The sequence below is a fragment of the Homo sapiens genome, chromosome 17 (genome assembly GCF_000001405.40).
Source record: "Homo sapiens chromosome 17, GRCh38.p14 Primary Assembly".
Lineage (NCBI taxonomy): Eukaryota > Metazoa > Chordata > Mammalia > Primates > Hominidae > Homo > Homo sapiens.
Genome location: NC_000017.11, coordinates 75,292,520 through 75,307,294, shown reverse-complemented (window position 1 = coordinate 75,307,294; position 14,775 = coordinate 75,292,520). Strand labels below are relative to the sequence as shown.

General features: G+C 48.2%; 1 long non-coding RNA gene across 1 annotated transcript, besides 8 other annotated features; it reads right to left on the bottom strand.

The window, feature by feature from the left end:
• Nucleotides 5,626-6,126: an enhancer, noted in NCBI's record as "H3K4me1 hESC enhancer chr17:73297250-73297750 (GRCh37/hg19 assembly coordinates)". NCBI's record gives its function as "activates a minimal SCP1, AML or CMV promoter by ChIP-STARR-seq in primed H9 embryonic stem cells {active_cell/tissue: H9 hESC(primed)}" and the evidence as "EXISTENCE:reporter gene assay evidence [ECO:0000049][PMID:30033119]".
• Nucleotides 9,207-9,286: an enhancer, noted in NCBI's record as "active region_12751". NCBI's record gives its function as "activates an Ori minimal core promoter by ATAC-STARR-seq in GM12878 lymphoblastoid cells {active_cell/tissue: GM12878}" and the evidence as "EXISTENCE:reporter gene assay evidence [ECO:0000049][PMID:35858748]".
• On the bottom strand, nt 9,416-11,776 carry LOC124904059 (uncharacterized). The gene is made up of 2 exons (XR_007065908.1): nt 11,652-11,776; nt 9,416-9,584 (listed from the first exon to the last, which is right to left on the bottom strand). It is a non-coding gene; the product is annotated as an uncharacterized LOC124904059 (long non-coding RNA).
• Nucleotides 9,457-9,716: an enhancer, noted in NCBI's record as "active region_12750". NCBI's record gives its function as "activates an Ori minimal core promoter by ATAC-STARR-seq in GM12878 lymphoblastoid cells {active_cell/tissue: GM12878}" and the evidence as "EXISTENCE:reporter gene assay evidence [ECO:0000049][PMID:35858748]".
• Nucleotides 11,129-11,178: an enhancer, noted in NCBI's record as "active region_12749". NCBI's record gives its function as "activates an Ori minimal core promoter by ATAC-STARR-seq in GM12878 lymphoblastoid cells {active_cell/tissue: GM12878}" and the evidence as "EXISTENCE:reporter gene assay evidence [ECO:0000049][PMID:35858748]".
• Nucleotides 11,219-11,268: an enhancer, noted in NCBI's record as "active region_12748". NCBI's record gives its function as "activates an Ori minimal core promoter by ATAC-STARR-seq in GM12878 lymphoblastoid cells {active_cell/tissue: GM12878}" and the evidence as "EXISTENCE:reporter gene assay evidence [ECO:0000049][PMID:35858748]".
• Nucleotides 11,289-11,378: an enhancer, noted in NCBI's record as "active region_12747". NCBI's record gives its function as "activates an Ori minimal core promoter by ATAC-STARR-seq in GM12878 lymphoblastoid cells {active_cell/tissue: GM12878}" and the evidence as "EXISTENCE:reporter gene assay evidence [ECO:0000049][PMID:35858748]".
• Nucleotides 11,459-11,518: an enhancer, noted in NCBI's record as "active region_12746". NCBI's record gives its function as "activates an Ori minimal core promoter by ATAC-STARR-seq in GM12878 lymphoblastoid cells {active_cell/tissue: GM12878}" and the evidence as "EXISTENCE:reporter gene assay evidence [ECO:0000049][PMID:35858748]".
• Nucleotides 12,569-12,758: a silencer, noted in NCBI's record as "silent region_8963". NCBI's record gives its function as "represses an Ori minimal core promoter by ATAC-STARR-seq in GM12878 lymphoblastoid cells {active_cell/tissue: GM12878}" and the evidence as "EXISTENCE:reporter gene assay evidence [ECO:0000049][PMID:35858748]".

Genomic DNA, 14,775 nt, shown 5'->3' with positions numbered 1-14,775 from the left:
CTGAGTGTGGGTTATAAGATTACACAGGATAAGGTGTATTAAGTAACTAGCACAAGATGGGTTAATCTATGCTAGTGCCCACATCTGGTAAATCATTTTGAGTTCAGCCAGCTTCTGGTCAGCCCTGTGCCTATCCATGATTCTTATTCTGTTCTTACCGAGTGCAAAATAATTCATAGATTTTTGTTTTTTGGTTTTACAGTTTTTTTTTTTTTTGAGACAGGCTGTCACTCTGTCATCCAGGCTGCAGTGCAGTGACACAACTACAGCTCTTGTAACCTCAACTTCCCAGGCTCAAGCCATCCTCCCACCTCAGCCTCCCAAGTAGCTGACTCCAGGAACACACCACCACACCCAGCTAATTTTTATATTTTTTGTAGAGATGAGGTCTCACTATGTTACCCAGGCTGGTCTCAAACTCCTAGGCTCCAAGTGATCTCTCACCTCAGCCTCCCAAAGTGTTGGGATTACAACCACACCCATCTGTATTTTCTTTTCTTTCTTTTTTTTTTTAAGACGGATCTCGCTCTGTTGCTCAGGCTGGAGGGGCAATGGCACGATCTCAGCTCACTGCAACCTCCACCTCCTGGGTTCAAGTGATTCTCCTGCCTCAGCCTCCCGAGTAGCTGGGACTACAGACATGCACCACCACGCCTGGCTGATTTTTGTATTTTTTAGTAGAGACAGGGTTTCATCATGTTGCCCAGGCTGGTCTTGAACTCCTGACCTCCAGTGATCCACCCACCTAGGCCTCCCAAGTGCTAGGATTATAGGTGTGAGCCACTGCGCCTGGCCTGTTTAAATCTTTGATCCGTTTAAAGGTATCCTGATATCAGTGTGAGAGATGGATTCAGCTCTCCTTTTTTCCAGATGACTACACGCTTGTCCAGATAGTATTTACTCACAGGTCCATCGGCAGCCCCCTGCGAGCAGGTGCGTTCTGTATAATGAGTGTCCATGTCCTCTGTATACTGGGGTCCTGTTTCTGGGCCTCTGTTACTCTGCAGTCTGCCCGTGGGCTAGTGCGGCACACTAAGTTTCTGATGTCAGATCGGCCATTCTTTTCCCATTGCTCTTCTCAGTATGTCCTGGCTCTTCTTGTTTATCTTTTATTTTCTTTCTTTTTTTTTTGGAGACGGAATCTCGCTTTGTTGCCCAGGCTAGGGTGCAATGGCGTGATCTCGGCTCACTGCAACCTCTGACTTCCTAGTTCAAGAAATTCTCCTGCCTCAGCCTCCCGAGTAGCTGGGATTACAGGCACCCGCTACCACACCTGGCTAATTTTTGTATTTTTGTAGAGACGGGGTTCACCAGCCGGCATGGTGGCTCACACCTGTAATCTCAACATTTTGGGAGGCCAAGGCGGGCAGATCACTTGAGGTCAGGAGTTCGAGCCTGGCCAACATGGTGAAACTCTGTCTCTACTAAAAATCCAAAAATTAGCCAGGTGTGATGGCACACGCCTATAGTCCCAGCTACTCAGGAGGCTGAGGCAGGAGAATCGCTTGAACCCAGGAAGCAGAGATTGCAGTGAGCTGAGATTACGCCATGGCACTCCAGCCTGGGCAACAAAGCACGCCTCTGTCTCAAAAAAAAAAAAAAAAACGGCCAGGCGCGGTGGCTTATGCCTGTAATCCCAGCACTTTGGGAGGCTGAGGCGGGCGGATCACCAAGTCAGGAGATCGAGACCATCCTGGCTAACACAGTGAAACCCCATCTCTACTAAAAATACAAAAAATTAGCTGGGCGTGGTAGTGGGCGCCTATTGTCCTAGCTACTTGGGAGGCTGAGGCAGGAGAATGGCGTGAACCCAGGAGGCAGAGGCTGAAGTGAGCCGAGATCGCACCACTGCACTCCAGCCTGAGCAACAGAGCGAGACGCCGTCTCAAAAAAAAAAAAAAAGAGAGAGAGGAGATGAAGTTTCACCATGTTGGCCAAGCTGGTCTTGAACTCCTGACGACGTCATGATCCGCCTGCCTCAGCCTCCCAAAGTACTGGGATTACAGGCATGAGCCACCACGCCCGGCCTTGTTTATATTTTCAATGTAAACTTTAGCATCAGCTTGTTTCCTTCCAGAAAAAAGGCTCTTGGTGTTTTTATTTGGATCATGTTAAATTTGTAAACTAAGAAGAACTGGCGTTTTGTGATGTTGAGTCTCCCTATCCGAGGACTTGCCATGTCTTTCCAGTTTCATGTCCTTTGGGAACATTTTCCTTATGGAGATTTTGCATGTTTCTTGTGACATTTGTTCCCAGATATTTTATCATCTTTGTTGATATTTTAAAGCAGACCTTATCTTCTTCCATCTTTTTTTTTTTTTTTGAGATAAGGTCTTGCTCTGTCACCCAGGCTGGAGTGCAGTGGTGTGATCATGGCTCACTGAAACCTCCACCTCCTGGGCTCAAGTGATCCTTCCACCTCAGCCTTCCATGTAGCTAGGACTACAGACATGTGCCACTGCACCCAGCTAATTTATTTATTTTTGTTTTTAAATTTATATCTATCTATTTATTTATTTATTGAGTCATGGTCTCATTTTGTTACCCAGGCTAGAGTACAGTGGTGTGAACACAGCTCATCCCAGCCTCGACCCTCTGGGTTCAAGCAATCCTCCTACCTCAGCCTCCTGAGTAGCTGGGACTATAGGCAAGTACCACCATGCCCACCTAATTTTTGTACTTTTTGTAGAGATGGGGTTTCGCCATGTTGCCCAGGCTGGTCTTGAATTCCTGAGCTCAAGTGATCTGCCCACCTCAGCCTCCCAAAGTGCTGGGATTACAGGCAGGAGCCACTATGCCCGGCCTCCCATTTTCTAGCTAGCTGTCATTTGTCTATGGGAAGGTATTGATTTCTCTGTACAAATGTTGATCTCACTTCCCTACTGAATTACTTGTCTGTGTGCAGTGGTTTGGCATTTGATCTCATACAGACAAAATTGTGTCTTTTTTTTTTCTTTTTTTAGAGACAGGGTCTTGCTATGTTGGCCAGGTTCATCTTGAACTCTTGGCCTCAAGCAATTCTCCTGCCTCAGCCTCCCAAAGTGCTAGGACTACAGGTGAAAGCCCCCACACCTGGCCTCAAGAAATCATGTCTAAATGGCACATTTAAACCGATGGCCAGGTGAGCTCCAAGGCTCTTCCACTGCCTGCTCTGCTTGTCCTGAGACCACTAGTGAAGACGAAAGTTCATTAAAGGAGCAAATAGGCCAGGCGCAGTGGCTCACACCAGTAATCCCAGCACTTTGGGAGGCTGAGGCAGGTGTATCACTTAAGATCTGGAGTTCAAGACCAGCCTGGCCAACATGTAGAAACTTCATCCCCACTAGAAATACAAAAAATTAGCTGGGTGTGGTGGCAGGCACCTGTAGTCCCAGCTACTCAGGAGGCTGAGACTGGAGAATTGCTTGAACCCAGGAGGCGGAGGTTGCAGTGAGCCGAGATCGCACCACTGCACTCCAGCCTGGGTGACACCGTGAGACTCCGTCTCAAAAAAACAAATAAAAACTATTTTGTTGTGAGTAAGGAATATAAGTTGTTTTTCAAATGCCTTCTGACCATAAGGCTGCTCTTCCAAACACTTTTGCAGCCTGAGAAAAGTAATCCATGGGAAGAAGACCTCTCCCCCTCAGCTGTAGAACTCAAAGTGCAGATGGGTGAGGAGCATGATCTCAAAACACAGGGCAGCCAGGCCAGCACCGTGGGAGGCCGAGGCGGGGAGATGACTTGAGGTCATGAGTTTGAGACTAGCCTGGCCAACATGGTGAAACCCCATCTCTACTAAAAATACAAAAATTAGCCAGGCGTGGTGGCAGGCGCCTGTAATCCCAGCTACTTGGGAGGCTGAGGTGGGAGTATCGCTTGAGCCTGGGAGGCAGAGGTTGCAGTGAGCCAACATCATGCCACTGCACTCCAGCCTGGGCGACAGAGACCGTGTCAAAAAAAAAAAAAAAAAAAAAAAAAAAGCATATAGCACCTCTCCCTTCGCTCTCTTTCTCCTGCTCTGGCAGTGTAAGATGTCCCTTCCCCATCACCTTCCACCATGATTGTAAGTTTCCTGAGGCCTCCCCAGCCATGTTTCCTGTACATCCTGCAGAACCATGAGCCAATTAAACCTCTTTCCTTTATAAACTACCAAGTCTCAGGTATTTTATAGCAGGGAGAACAAACTGATAACACCATTGCATTGTGGGGTTAGGGCCTCAAAGTATGAATTTGGCAGTGGGGGAGGTGCACAAAAAATCCCACAGAACTGGGTTCTTGGTCCTAGCTCCAGATCCTGCTGGTTATGTGACCTTGGGCGAGGTGGCTGATGCCTCTGAGCTTGTTTCCTCAGCAGTATGATGGAATGTGATGTTGGCCTCCTAGGGTTTTTGGGAGACATGGCTAATGTATATAATATCCAGCCTGGACAGGCACGGTGGCTCACACCTGTAATCCCAGGACTTTAGGAGGCTGAGGCAGGTTGATCACTTGAGGTCAGGAGTTTGAGACCAGCCTGACCAACATGGTGAAACCCCATCTCTACTAAAAGTACAAAAAATTAGCCAGGCCTGGTGGCCCATGCTTGTAATCCCAGCTACTCAGGAGGCTGAGGCAGCAGAATCGCTTGAATCCAGGAGGCGGAGGTTGCAGTGACCCGAATCGCATCATTGCACTCCAGCCTGGGCGACAAGAGCGAAACTCCATCTGGAAAAATAAAATAAAATAAAATATCCAGCCTAATGCCAGAGGAATCATATACTTCCTCAATAGATGTTTCTCTTCATCTATCCATCTGGGCAGACATGTTTTCTGCCACCTTCCCCCCTCTTCTTCCATAGTAGGAAAATGCCCAATTATTATTATTATTGACAAGGTCTCACTCTTTCATCCAGGCTGGAGTGCAGTGGCACAATCTTGGCTCACTGCAACCTCCGCCTCCCGGGTTCAAGCAATTCTCTTGCCTCAGCCTCCCAGGTAGCTGGGATTACAGGCACCCACCGCCACGCCCAGCCAATTTTTGTATTTTTAGTAGAGACGGGGTTTCACCGTATTGGCCAAGGTAGTCTTGAACTCCTGACCTTAAGTGATCCACCCACCTCGGCCTCCCAAAGTGCTGGGATTACAGGTGTGAGCCACCATGCCCAGCCAGAGAATACCCAATTTTTAGCTTGCATATGACTACCCAGAGTAAAGACCACCTGTCCCAGCTACTGACATTTAGGTGCAGCCATGTGACTCAGCTCTGGCCAATAGGATTCAAGTAAAATTTTCATATGACGGCCCCAGATAACCTTCCTGGAACCCCTTTCTCTTGCAATCATGTCTCCATCCTGTTGCTTCACTACCCATGTGATGTCTGGAGCTCTGGCTGCTGACACTGATGGCCACACCCTAGGGCAGCGGTCCCCAACCTTTTTGTCACCGGTTGCATGGAAAACAATTTCCCACGGTGGAGGGGGAACGGTTTTGGGATGAAACTGTTCCACCTCAGATCATCAGGTATTAGATTCTCATAAGGAGCGTGGAACCTAGATCCCTCGCGTACGCAGTTCACGTAGGGTTCGTGCTCCTGTGAGAATCTAGTGCCGCCGCTGATCTGACAGGAGGCGGTAATGCTTGCTCGCCCGCCATCATCTCCTGCTGTGGGGCCCAGCTCCTTACAGGCCACAGACCCGTACTGGGTTGGGTCCTTCTGCCCTAAGGGTTGTGGCATGGTGGGCTGGAAGGGGCCAGTGCTCTGCTCCTGGGAAGTTGATGGAGACAGTGGCTGAACCAGCCCTGGTGAGCTTACTGTGGACTTTGATGAATTCAAGCCACTATTGTGGGGCTCTGTCACTTTCAGGGCAGCTGAATCTAGTCCTGATACCCCATCATTCATGTCTGCCTACCAAGCAGCCAATCCCCACAGTCCCTGACATCTCCAGAATCCCCACCGCAAAGGGGAGCAAAGAAAAGACGTCTGTGGACATTTCCCATCTTTCTCTACTCAACCCTGCTACGTACGTAGTTCTCCACTCCCACGATTCCCTGTCTATAAATACTTTCATGGGGTGGAGGCAGATGAGGATGTGGAAGGGGGAAATCACTTCACTCTGAGCCATGCTGGGTGGTGTGTCATCTCCATCCCTGCACTCTAGTGTCTACTGAGCCGTCGAACACAGGCCCAGGTGCTGGAGACAGAGATGCATAAGAAAGTTACCAAACACCAGCCCTCAGGAAGCCGGAGATACCGTGGCAGATACTGAGCAGTAATCCATCCCAGAAGGCAGCGGGGCAAGGAGAGCAGAGGGGAGGCCGACTTGGATGGGGTCAGGAGAGACTTCAGAGAGACGGTGACTCCAGAACTGAGGCGTGGGGAAAGGAGGGAAAAAGGCTCATGCAGAAGCATGTGAGCATCCACCAAAGAAAAAACATCGAGTGTCAGCGGGGATGGCGAGAAACTGGAACCGCAGACCTCGCTGGTGGGAATGTATTAATAAGATGGTGCTGGCCAGGTGCAGTGGTTCACACCTGTAATCCCAGCACTTGGGGAGGCCGAGGCGGGTGGATCACTTGAGGTCAGGAGTTCGAGACTGGCCTGGCCAACAGGGTGAAACCCTGTCTCTACCAAAAATCTGAAAATTAGCTTCATGTGGTGGCGGGTGCCTGTAATCCCTCCCCACCCTCGGGAGGCAGGGGCAGGAGAATTGCTTGAAGCTGGGAGGCGGAGGTTGCAGCGAGCCAAGATGGTACCACTGCACTCCAGCCTGGGCAACAAGAGCAAAACTCTGTCTCAAAAAAAAAAAAAAAAAAAGCTCTGGAATTGGATAGCGGTGATGATTGCACAATATACTAAACAAACCCCACGAAGCTGTATATTTTTAAACATACAGTTTTTTGATGTTTTTTAATGTTATGTGAATTATATCTTAATACAAATAAGCTTTAAAAATCATTATGAGCCAGGTGCAGTGGCTCATGCCTGTAATCCAAGCAGTTTGGAAGGCTGAGACGGGAGGATTGCTTGATCCCAGGAGTTGGAGACCAACCTGGACAACATAGGAAAACCTCATCTCTACAAATAATAAAATAAAAATTAGCCAGGCATGGTGGTACACACCTGTGGTCCCAGTTATTCAGGAAGCTGAGGTGGGAGAATTGCATGAGTCTGGGCCGTCAAGGCTGCAATAAATCGTGATCATGCCACTGCACTGCCACTGGGCAACAGAGGAGGATCTCATCTCAAAAAAGAAAAAAAAGATTGTGATACAACCAACAAAAGTTATACTTTATGAAAAACTTAAAAAACATGGAAAACATCATCATAGTACAATGTTAAATGAAAGCGCATAATCTTACATGTACAGTAGGATTATAATTGTGTTAAAAACAAAAACACATCACTTAAATACAGGAAAAGCCCAGTGGAAAGAAATGTATCAATACTGGGACAGGAGAAAATCTGTTTCTGTCTTGGGAGTAATGACATGACCACCCTGCCTGATTTGCTATGGATTTGAGGAGGCTTTAGGCCCATTTTCTCATAGCCTGCTTCTTAGATTTGGAGCTCCCAAAAGTAGTCAACTTTTTTTTTTTTTTTTTTTTTCAGATGGAGTCTCACTCTGTCATCCAGGCTGGAGTGCAGCGGTGCGATCTCAGCTCACTGCAAGCTCCACCTCCCGGGTTCACACCATTCTCCTGCCTCAGCCTCCCAAGTAGCTGGGACTACAGGTGCCCTCCACCACGCCCAGCTAATTTTTTGTATTTTTAGTAGAGACGGGGTTTCACCATGTTAGCCAGGATGGTCTTGATCTCCTGACCTCATGATCCTCCTGCCTCGGCCTCCCAAAGTGCCGGGATTACAGGCGTGAGCCACCTCGCCCGGCCCATTTTTTGTTTTTGAGACGGGGTCCTGCACTCCCAGGCTGGAGTGCAGTGGCATGATTTTGGCTCACTGTAGCCTTGACCTCCCAGGCTCAAGAGAACCTTCCACCTCAGCCTCCCAAGGAGCTAGGACTACAGGCGCGTGCCACACATCCAGCGGTTTTTTTTTTTTTTTTTTTTTGGTAGAAACAAAGTCTCACTATTGTTGCCCAGGCTGGTCTTGAACTCCTGGGCTCAAGTAATCCTCCTGCCTCAGCCTTCCAAAGTGCTGGGAGAGGTAGTCATCCTTGAGTCAGGAACCGTAAATTGTCACGGAAGAAGACGTGGTCTGTGGCTAGGCGCGGTGGTTCACGCCTGGAATCCCAGCACTTTGGGAGGCCGAGGAAGGCAGATCACCTGAGGTTAGGAGTTCGAGACCAGCCTTGCCAACATGGTGAAACTCTGTCTCTACTAATAATAAAAAATTAGCTGGGTGTGGTGGCGCGTGCCTGTAATCCCAGCTACTCAGGAGGCTGAGGCAGGAGAACTGCTGAAACTTTGGAGACAGAGGTTGCAGTGAGCCAAAACCGCTGCCACTACATTCCAGCCTGGGCTACAGAGCGAGACTCTGTCTCAAAAAATAAAAAATAAAAGAAGACATGGTTTGCGGTGGATGTGGGACATGTCAACCCTTCCACACACAGACACCTCTACCTTCACGACAGGGCTGCACTCTGTTCTCTGTGTGCATTTGATGGCAGGCAGGGTGAAGATGGGCTTCCCACAGACACAGCAAAAATTCCTTTTATTTTATTTTTTGAGACAGATTTTCGCTCTTGTTGCCCAGGCTCGAGTGCAGTGGCGTGATCTTGGCTCACTGCAACCTCTGCCTCCCAGGTTCAAGCGATTCTCCTGCCTCAGCCTCCCGAGTAGCTGGGATTATAGGCACCTTCCACCACGCCTGGCTAATTTTTGTTGTATATTTAGTAGAGAAGGGGTTTCACCATGTTGGCCAGGCTGGTCTTGAACTCCTGACCTCAGTTGATCCACCCACCTCGGCCTCCCAAAGTGCTGGGATTACAGGAGTGAGCCACCGCGCCCAGCCAGAAAATTCTTTCTCACAGAAGCTCAGAAACAGGTGATGAGTGAGGAGGCGTGGTCACCCACAACAGTTGATGATCTGGTCAAAGAGAACCAAATGCCGAAAACCACAAAGCTGGAAGCCTTGAGACCCTCCAGCAAACTTGGGAACCCTTCTTCTCTGGCCTGGTATTGACATTTCCTGTAGCCTCTTTTTGGAATTTCCTGTAGCGAAACAACGGAGTTTCGCTCCTGTTGCCTAGGCTGGAGTGCAATGGCGCGATCTCAGCTCACAGCAACCTCCGCCTCCCGGATTCAAGCCATTCTCCTGCCTCAGCCTCCAGAGTAGCTGGGATTACAGGCAGGTGCCACCACGCCCAGATAATTTTTATAGTTTTAGTAGAGACGGGGTTTCACCATGTTGGCAAGGCTGGTTTCAAACTCCTAACCTCAAGTGATCTGCCTGCCTCGGCCTCCCAAAGTGCTGGGATTACAGGCATGAGCCACCTCACCCAGCTAGTTTTTTATTATTAGTAGAGACAGGGTTTCACCACGTTGGCCAGGCTGGTCTCAAACTCCTGACGTCAGATGATCCGCCCGCCTCGACCTCCTGAAGTGCCGGCATTACAGACGTGAGCCACCGCACCCGGCGCCCTGTAGCCTCTTGATGTTTGACTCCCCTGAGAAGAGCAACAGAAGAAAGTCAAAATGGGTAAGAAATCAGCTATTGAAAGTTACTGGACAGTGAATCCTCTCTTTCTTTCTTTCTTTTTTTTTTTTATTTTAGTTTACTGGTGTTTGAGTCATTTGCTGAGTAAATCTGAAAGAACAAAGAAAAAAAGGAACTGTTGCCAAGGTGCCCCTATCTTTGGGGCTTGCAGCCTATCAGAACTTCCTCCAGAATCCTCCATCAGTGGTTGGCTTCTCATTATTTCCTCAGCCCTTTAGCTCTATTAAGTTTTAAAAAATAAAATGAAGGCCGGCCATAGTGGCTCATGCCTGTAATCTCAGCACTTTGGAAGGCCAAGGTGGGTGGATTGCTTGAGGTCAGGAGTTCAAGACCAGCCTGGGCACACCCCGTCTCATTTAAAAATAAAATAAAATAAAATAAAATGATGGAGATTTATATCCATGCAAAAACCTGCACATGAAGGCTTATGGCAACTTTATTCATAAATGCTAAAGCTTGGAAGCAACTAAGATGTCCTGTTTTTTTGGGTTTTTTGAGACGGAGTCTCGCACTGTCACCTGTGCTGGAGTACAATGGCATGATCTCAGCTCACTGCAACCTCCGCCTCCCAGGTTCAATCAATTCTCCTGCCTTAGCCTCCTAAGTAGCTGGGATTACAGGCGCCTACCACCACGTCCAGCTAATTTTTTGTATTTTTAGTAGAGACGGGGGTTTCACTATGTTGGCCAGGCTGGTCTCGAACTCCTAACCTCGTGATCTGCCCACCTCGGCCTCCCAAAGTGCTGGGATTACAGGCATGAGCCACTGTGCCCAGCTAAGACATCCTTTAATAGGTGAATGGATAAGCAAACTGTGTGCTGGAACCGCACAATGAAATGTTATTCCACACCAAAAAGAAACACACTATCAGGCCAGGAGAAATTGTGGAAAAACCTTAGCTGCATATTGCTGAGTGAAAGAAAGCCTGATCCAAGAGGGCAAGAATTCTGATTGATTCACTGCTGAATCTCCAACATCTAAAACAGTGTCTGGCCAAAACAGGCCCTCAATATTTGATGAGTTGTTGTTTTTTTTAAGTCCAGGCATATGGTGGCTCAAACCCTTGATCCCAGCACTTTGGGAGGCTGAAGCGAGGTGATTGCTTAAGGCCAGGAGCTCGAGACCAGCCTGGACAACATAGTGAGACTCCATCTCCATTAAAAAAAAAAAAAAAAAAAAAAAAGGCCGGGCACAGTGGCTCACGCCTGTAATCCCAGCACTTTGGGAGGCTGAGGCAGGTGGATCACGAGGTCAAGAGATCGAGACCATCATGGCTAACACGGTGAAACCCCGTCTCTACTAAAAATACAAAAAATTAGCTGGGCGTGGTGGCAGGTGCCCGTAGTCGCAGCTACTCGGGAGGCTGAGGCAGAATGGCTTGAGCCCGGGAGGCAGAGCTTGCAGTGAGCCGAGATTGCGCCACTGCACTCCAGCCTGGGCAACAGAGCGAGGCTCCGTCTCAAAAAAAAAAAAAAATGCAGATTATATTTTAGAACTGTGGAGGTGCAGAGGCAGCAAGGCTTGACCTACCCTGTAGTCCAACTCCATCTGAACAGATGAAGGAACTGCAGCCCAGAGAAGGAAAGTTACTTGCCAGAGACACACAGCAAGTTGCCTTCTGACTTTCAGGCCTCTTACAGAGAGCTGACCAACTCAGTTAGATGTTAAGAGACTCATTTGCCTCAGAAGCATCAGCTCAAGCAGCTGCTAAATACCAACTCTATTTGGTCAAGGCCAAGGAGATATTTACTCCTTCTTAGGAGGCGGGGGAAGTCCAAAGGAGCTTTTTATAGGCCTCTTTAGGGTAAGTGTTGGTGAAGTCACAGAAGGATTCACTTCCCCAAGCTGACGGGAACCGTTACTTTCTGGTTTCTCTTTTCAGATTTACTAAACATATTTAACTTAAAATGAAATGGCCAAATTTGAAATATATAAAAACTACAATCCGGGTCAGCCCAGGAAAACTAGCATCTACCTCCAGTCTCATCTCATCCCAGCCACCAATTTGCCACCTGACCTTGAGGGACTGCAGGCACATCTCCTAGTCCTTCTGGGCCCCGGCCAGATGAAATGACCTCCATGAATCTTTCCAGTTCTGACCATCTGTGGTGCCCTGGGTCTAAGTCACCCTACAATTAGCCTGTAGTCAAAGGTCCTTCCTGGCTTATCTGCTGATTGGCCTTTGAAGAGGCCCATTCTAAAATGTGGGTTTGCTCTAGTTCAGGAAAACAAAGTAGGGCCAAAGATCTCCTTAGCCAAAGAGATGATCTGGAAAGAGGTTAGCAATCAGTTCACAAACTGACCTGGACAACAGAGATAAAACATGAGGGCTGCACTTGCATGGGGAAATAAGGCAATCCCTAAGCAAGGAGACAGAGGGAGTGAGGGAGGACAGTGCAGCCCGGAAGACCACAGTGAGGGACGCTTTCGACTAGAACAGGAAGTCAAATTTCTTTTTTAGGTTCTGCCCATTATGGGCCAACTTAACATCTTTATTTTTATTTATTTATTTATTTTTGTTTATTTTTGAGATGGAGTCTTGCTGTGTTGTCCAGGCTGGAGTGGAGTGATCTCGGCTCACTGCAACCTCCTCCTCCCAGGTTCAAGTGATTCTCCTGCCTCAGCCTCCTGAGTAGCTGGGATTACAGGTGCCCACCACCACGCCCAGATAATTTTTGTATTTTTAGTAGAGACGGGGTTTCACCATGTTGGCCAGGCTGGTCTCGAACTCCTCACTTCAAGTGATCCACCTGTCTCGGCCTCGCAAAGTGCTGGGATTACAGGCATGAGTCACTGCACCAAGCCCACCTTAACATCTTTTTTTTTTTTGAGATGGAGTCTCACTCTTGCCACCCAGGCTGGAGTGCAGTAGTGTGATCTCAGCTCACTGCAACCTCCGCCTCCTGGGTTCAAGTGATTCTCCTGCTTCAGCCTCCTGAGTAGCTGGGATAACAGACACCTGCCACCATGCCCAGCTAATTTTTGTACTTTTAGTAGAGACGGGGTTTCACCATGTTGGCCAGGTTGGTCTTGAACTTCTGACCTTAGGTGACCCATTCACCTCGGCCTCCCAAAGTGCTGGTATTACAGGCGTGAGCCATCGTGCCCGGCAACACCTTTAACTATCTTTTTCCTGTGTGGACAATGCTTATCATTACTTGCATTGAGTGAAAAAAGAAAAAAGGTCATCATTTTGTGTACACATGAACTGATTTTCAACAAACATGAACAGAGCAGTTTAGTGGAGAAAGAATAGACTTTTCAACAAAAACAGAGTTCCATGTACTAGAACAATTAAATATCCAAGTACAAGAAAAAAACCTTCAATATCTCATACCAAACAAAAAATAACTAAAAATGGATCAGAGACCTAGATGTAAAACCTAAAACTATAAAATTTCTATTAGAAAACATAGGAGAAAATCTTTATAACCTTTGACTAGGCAAAGATTTCTTTGGTAAAGGCCAGGCATGGTGGCTTACACCTGTAATCCCAGGACTTTGGGAGGCCCAGGAGTTTAAGACCAGCCTGAGCAGCATAGGGAGATCCTATGCTGTCTCTACCAAAAATTAAGGCCAGGCACGGTGGCTCATGCCTGTAATCCTAGCACTTTGGGAGGCTGAAGCAGGCAAATCACTTGAGGTCAGGGGTTTCACAATGTTGGCCAGGCTGGTCTCAAACTCCTGACCTCAAGATGACCAACCCAGCTTGGCCTCCCAAAGTGCTGGTACAGGTGTGGGCCACCGCATCTGGCCAGGAACCAATTCTTTTTTGAGACACGATGGCTGCAAACATCACAAAATGACAGACAAGCAGGCATTATGGTGTTCCTCATGGAAATACACAACACCATGTAAGTAGTCTCATTTAAAAAAAAAAAAAAAAAAAAAAAAAACGTTGGCCGGGCGCCGTGGCTCATGCCTGTAATCCTAGCACTTTGGGAGGCTGAGGCAGGTGGATCACCTGAGGTCAGGAGTTCGAGACCAGCCTGACCAACATGGTGAAATCCCATCTCTACTAAAAATACAAAAATTAGCCGGGCATGGTGGAGGGCATCTGTAATCCCAGCTACTCAGGAGGCTGAGGCAAGAGAATTGCTTGAACCCAGGAGGCAGAGGTTGCAGTGAACCAAGATTGTGCCACTGCACTCCAGCCTGGGCAACAGAGCGAGACTGTCTTTACAAAAAAAAAAATCAGGCCAGGCACAGTGGCTCATGCCTGTAATCCCAGCACTTTGGAAGGGCAAAGTGGGCAGATCACTTGAGGTCAGGAGTTTGAGACAAGCCTGGCCAATGTGGTGAAACGTCATCTCCACTAAAAGTACAAAAATTAGCCAGGTTTGGTGGCATGTGCCTGTAGTACCAGCTACTCAGGAGGCTGAGGCAGGAGAGTCGCTTGAACCCTGGAGGCGGAGGTTGCAGTGAGCCAAGATCACACTACTGTATGACTGTACTCCAGCCTGGACAACACAGCAAGATTCTGTCTAAAAAAAAAAAAAAAAAAAGGCTGGGCGCAGTGGCTCACGTCTGTAATCCCAGCACTTCGGGAGGCCAAGGCGGGCAGATCATGAGGTCAGGAATTTGAGACCAGCCCAACCAACATGGTGAAACAACCCCGTCTCTACTAAAAATACGAAAATTAGCTGGGCGAGGTGGCACATGCCTGTAATCACGACTACTCAGGAGGCTGAAGCAGGAGAATCGCTTGAACTCAGGAGGCGGAGTTTGCAGCGAGCTGCGATTGCGCCACTGCACTCCAGCCTGGAGGACAGAGTGAGACTCTGTCTCAAAAAATAAAGAAATAAATTTTAAAAATCAGGCCAGGTTCAGTGGCTGACACCTGTAATCCTAGCACTTTGGGAGGCTGAAGCAGACAGATTGCCTGAGCTCAGGAGTTCAAGACTGCCATGGGCAACATGGCAAAACCCCGTCTCTACAAAAAATACAAAAAATTAGCTGGGTGTGGTGGCGCGTGCCTGTAGTCCCAGCTACTAGGGGCTGAGGCAGAAGGATAGCTTGACCCCAAGAGGTAGAGGCTGCAGTGAGCTGAGATCGTGTCACTGCACTCTAGCCTGGGAGACAAAGTGAGACCTTATCTAAAAAAAAAAAAAGTCAAACCCAGTCTAATCAAACCTTTTAGA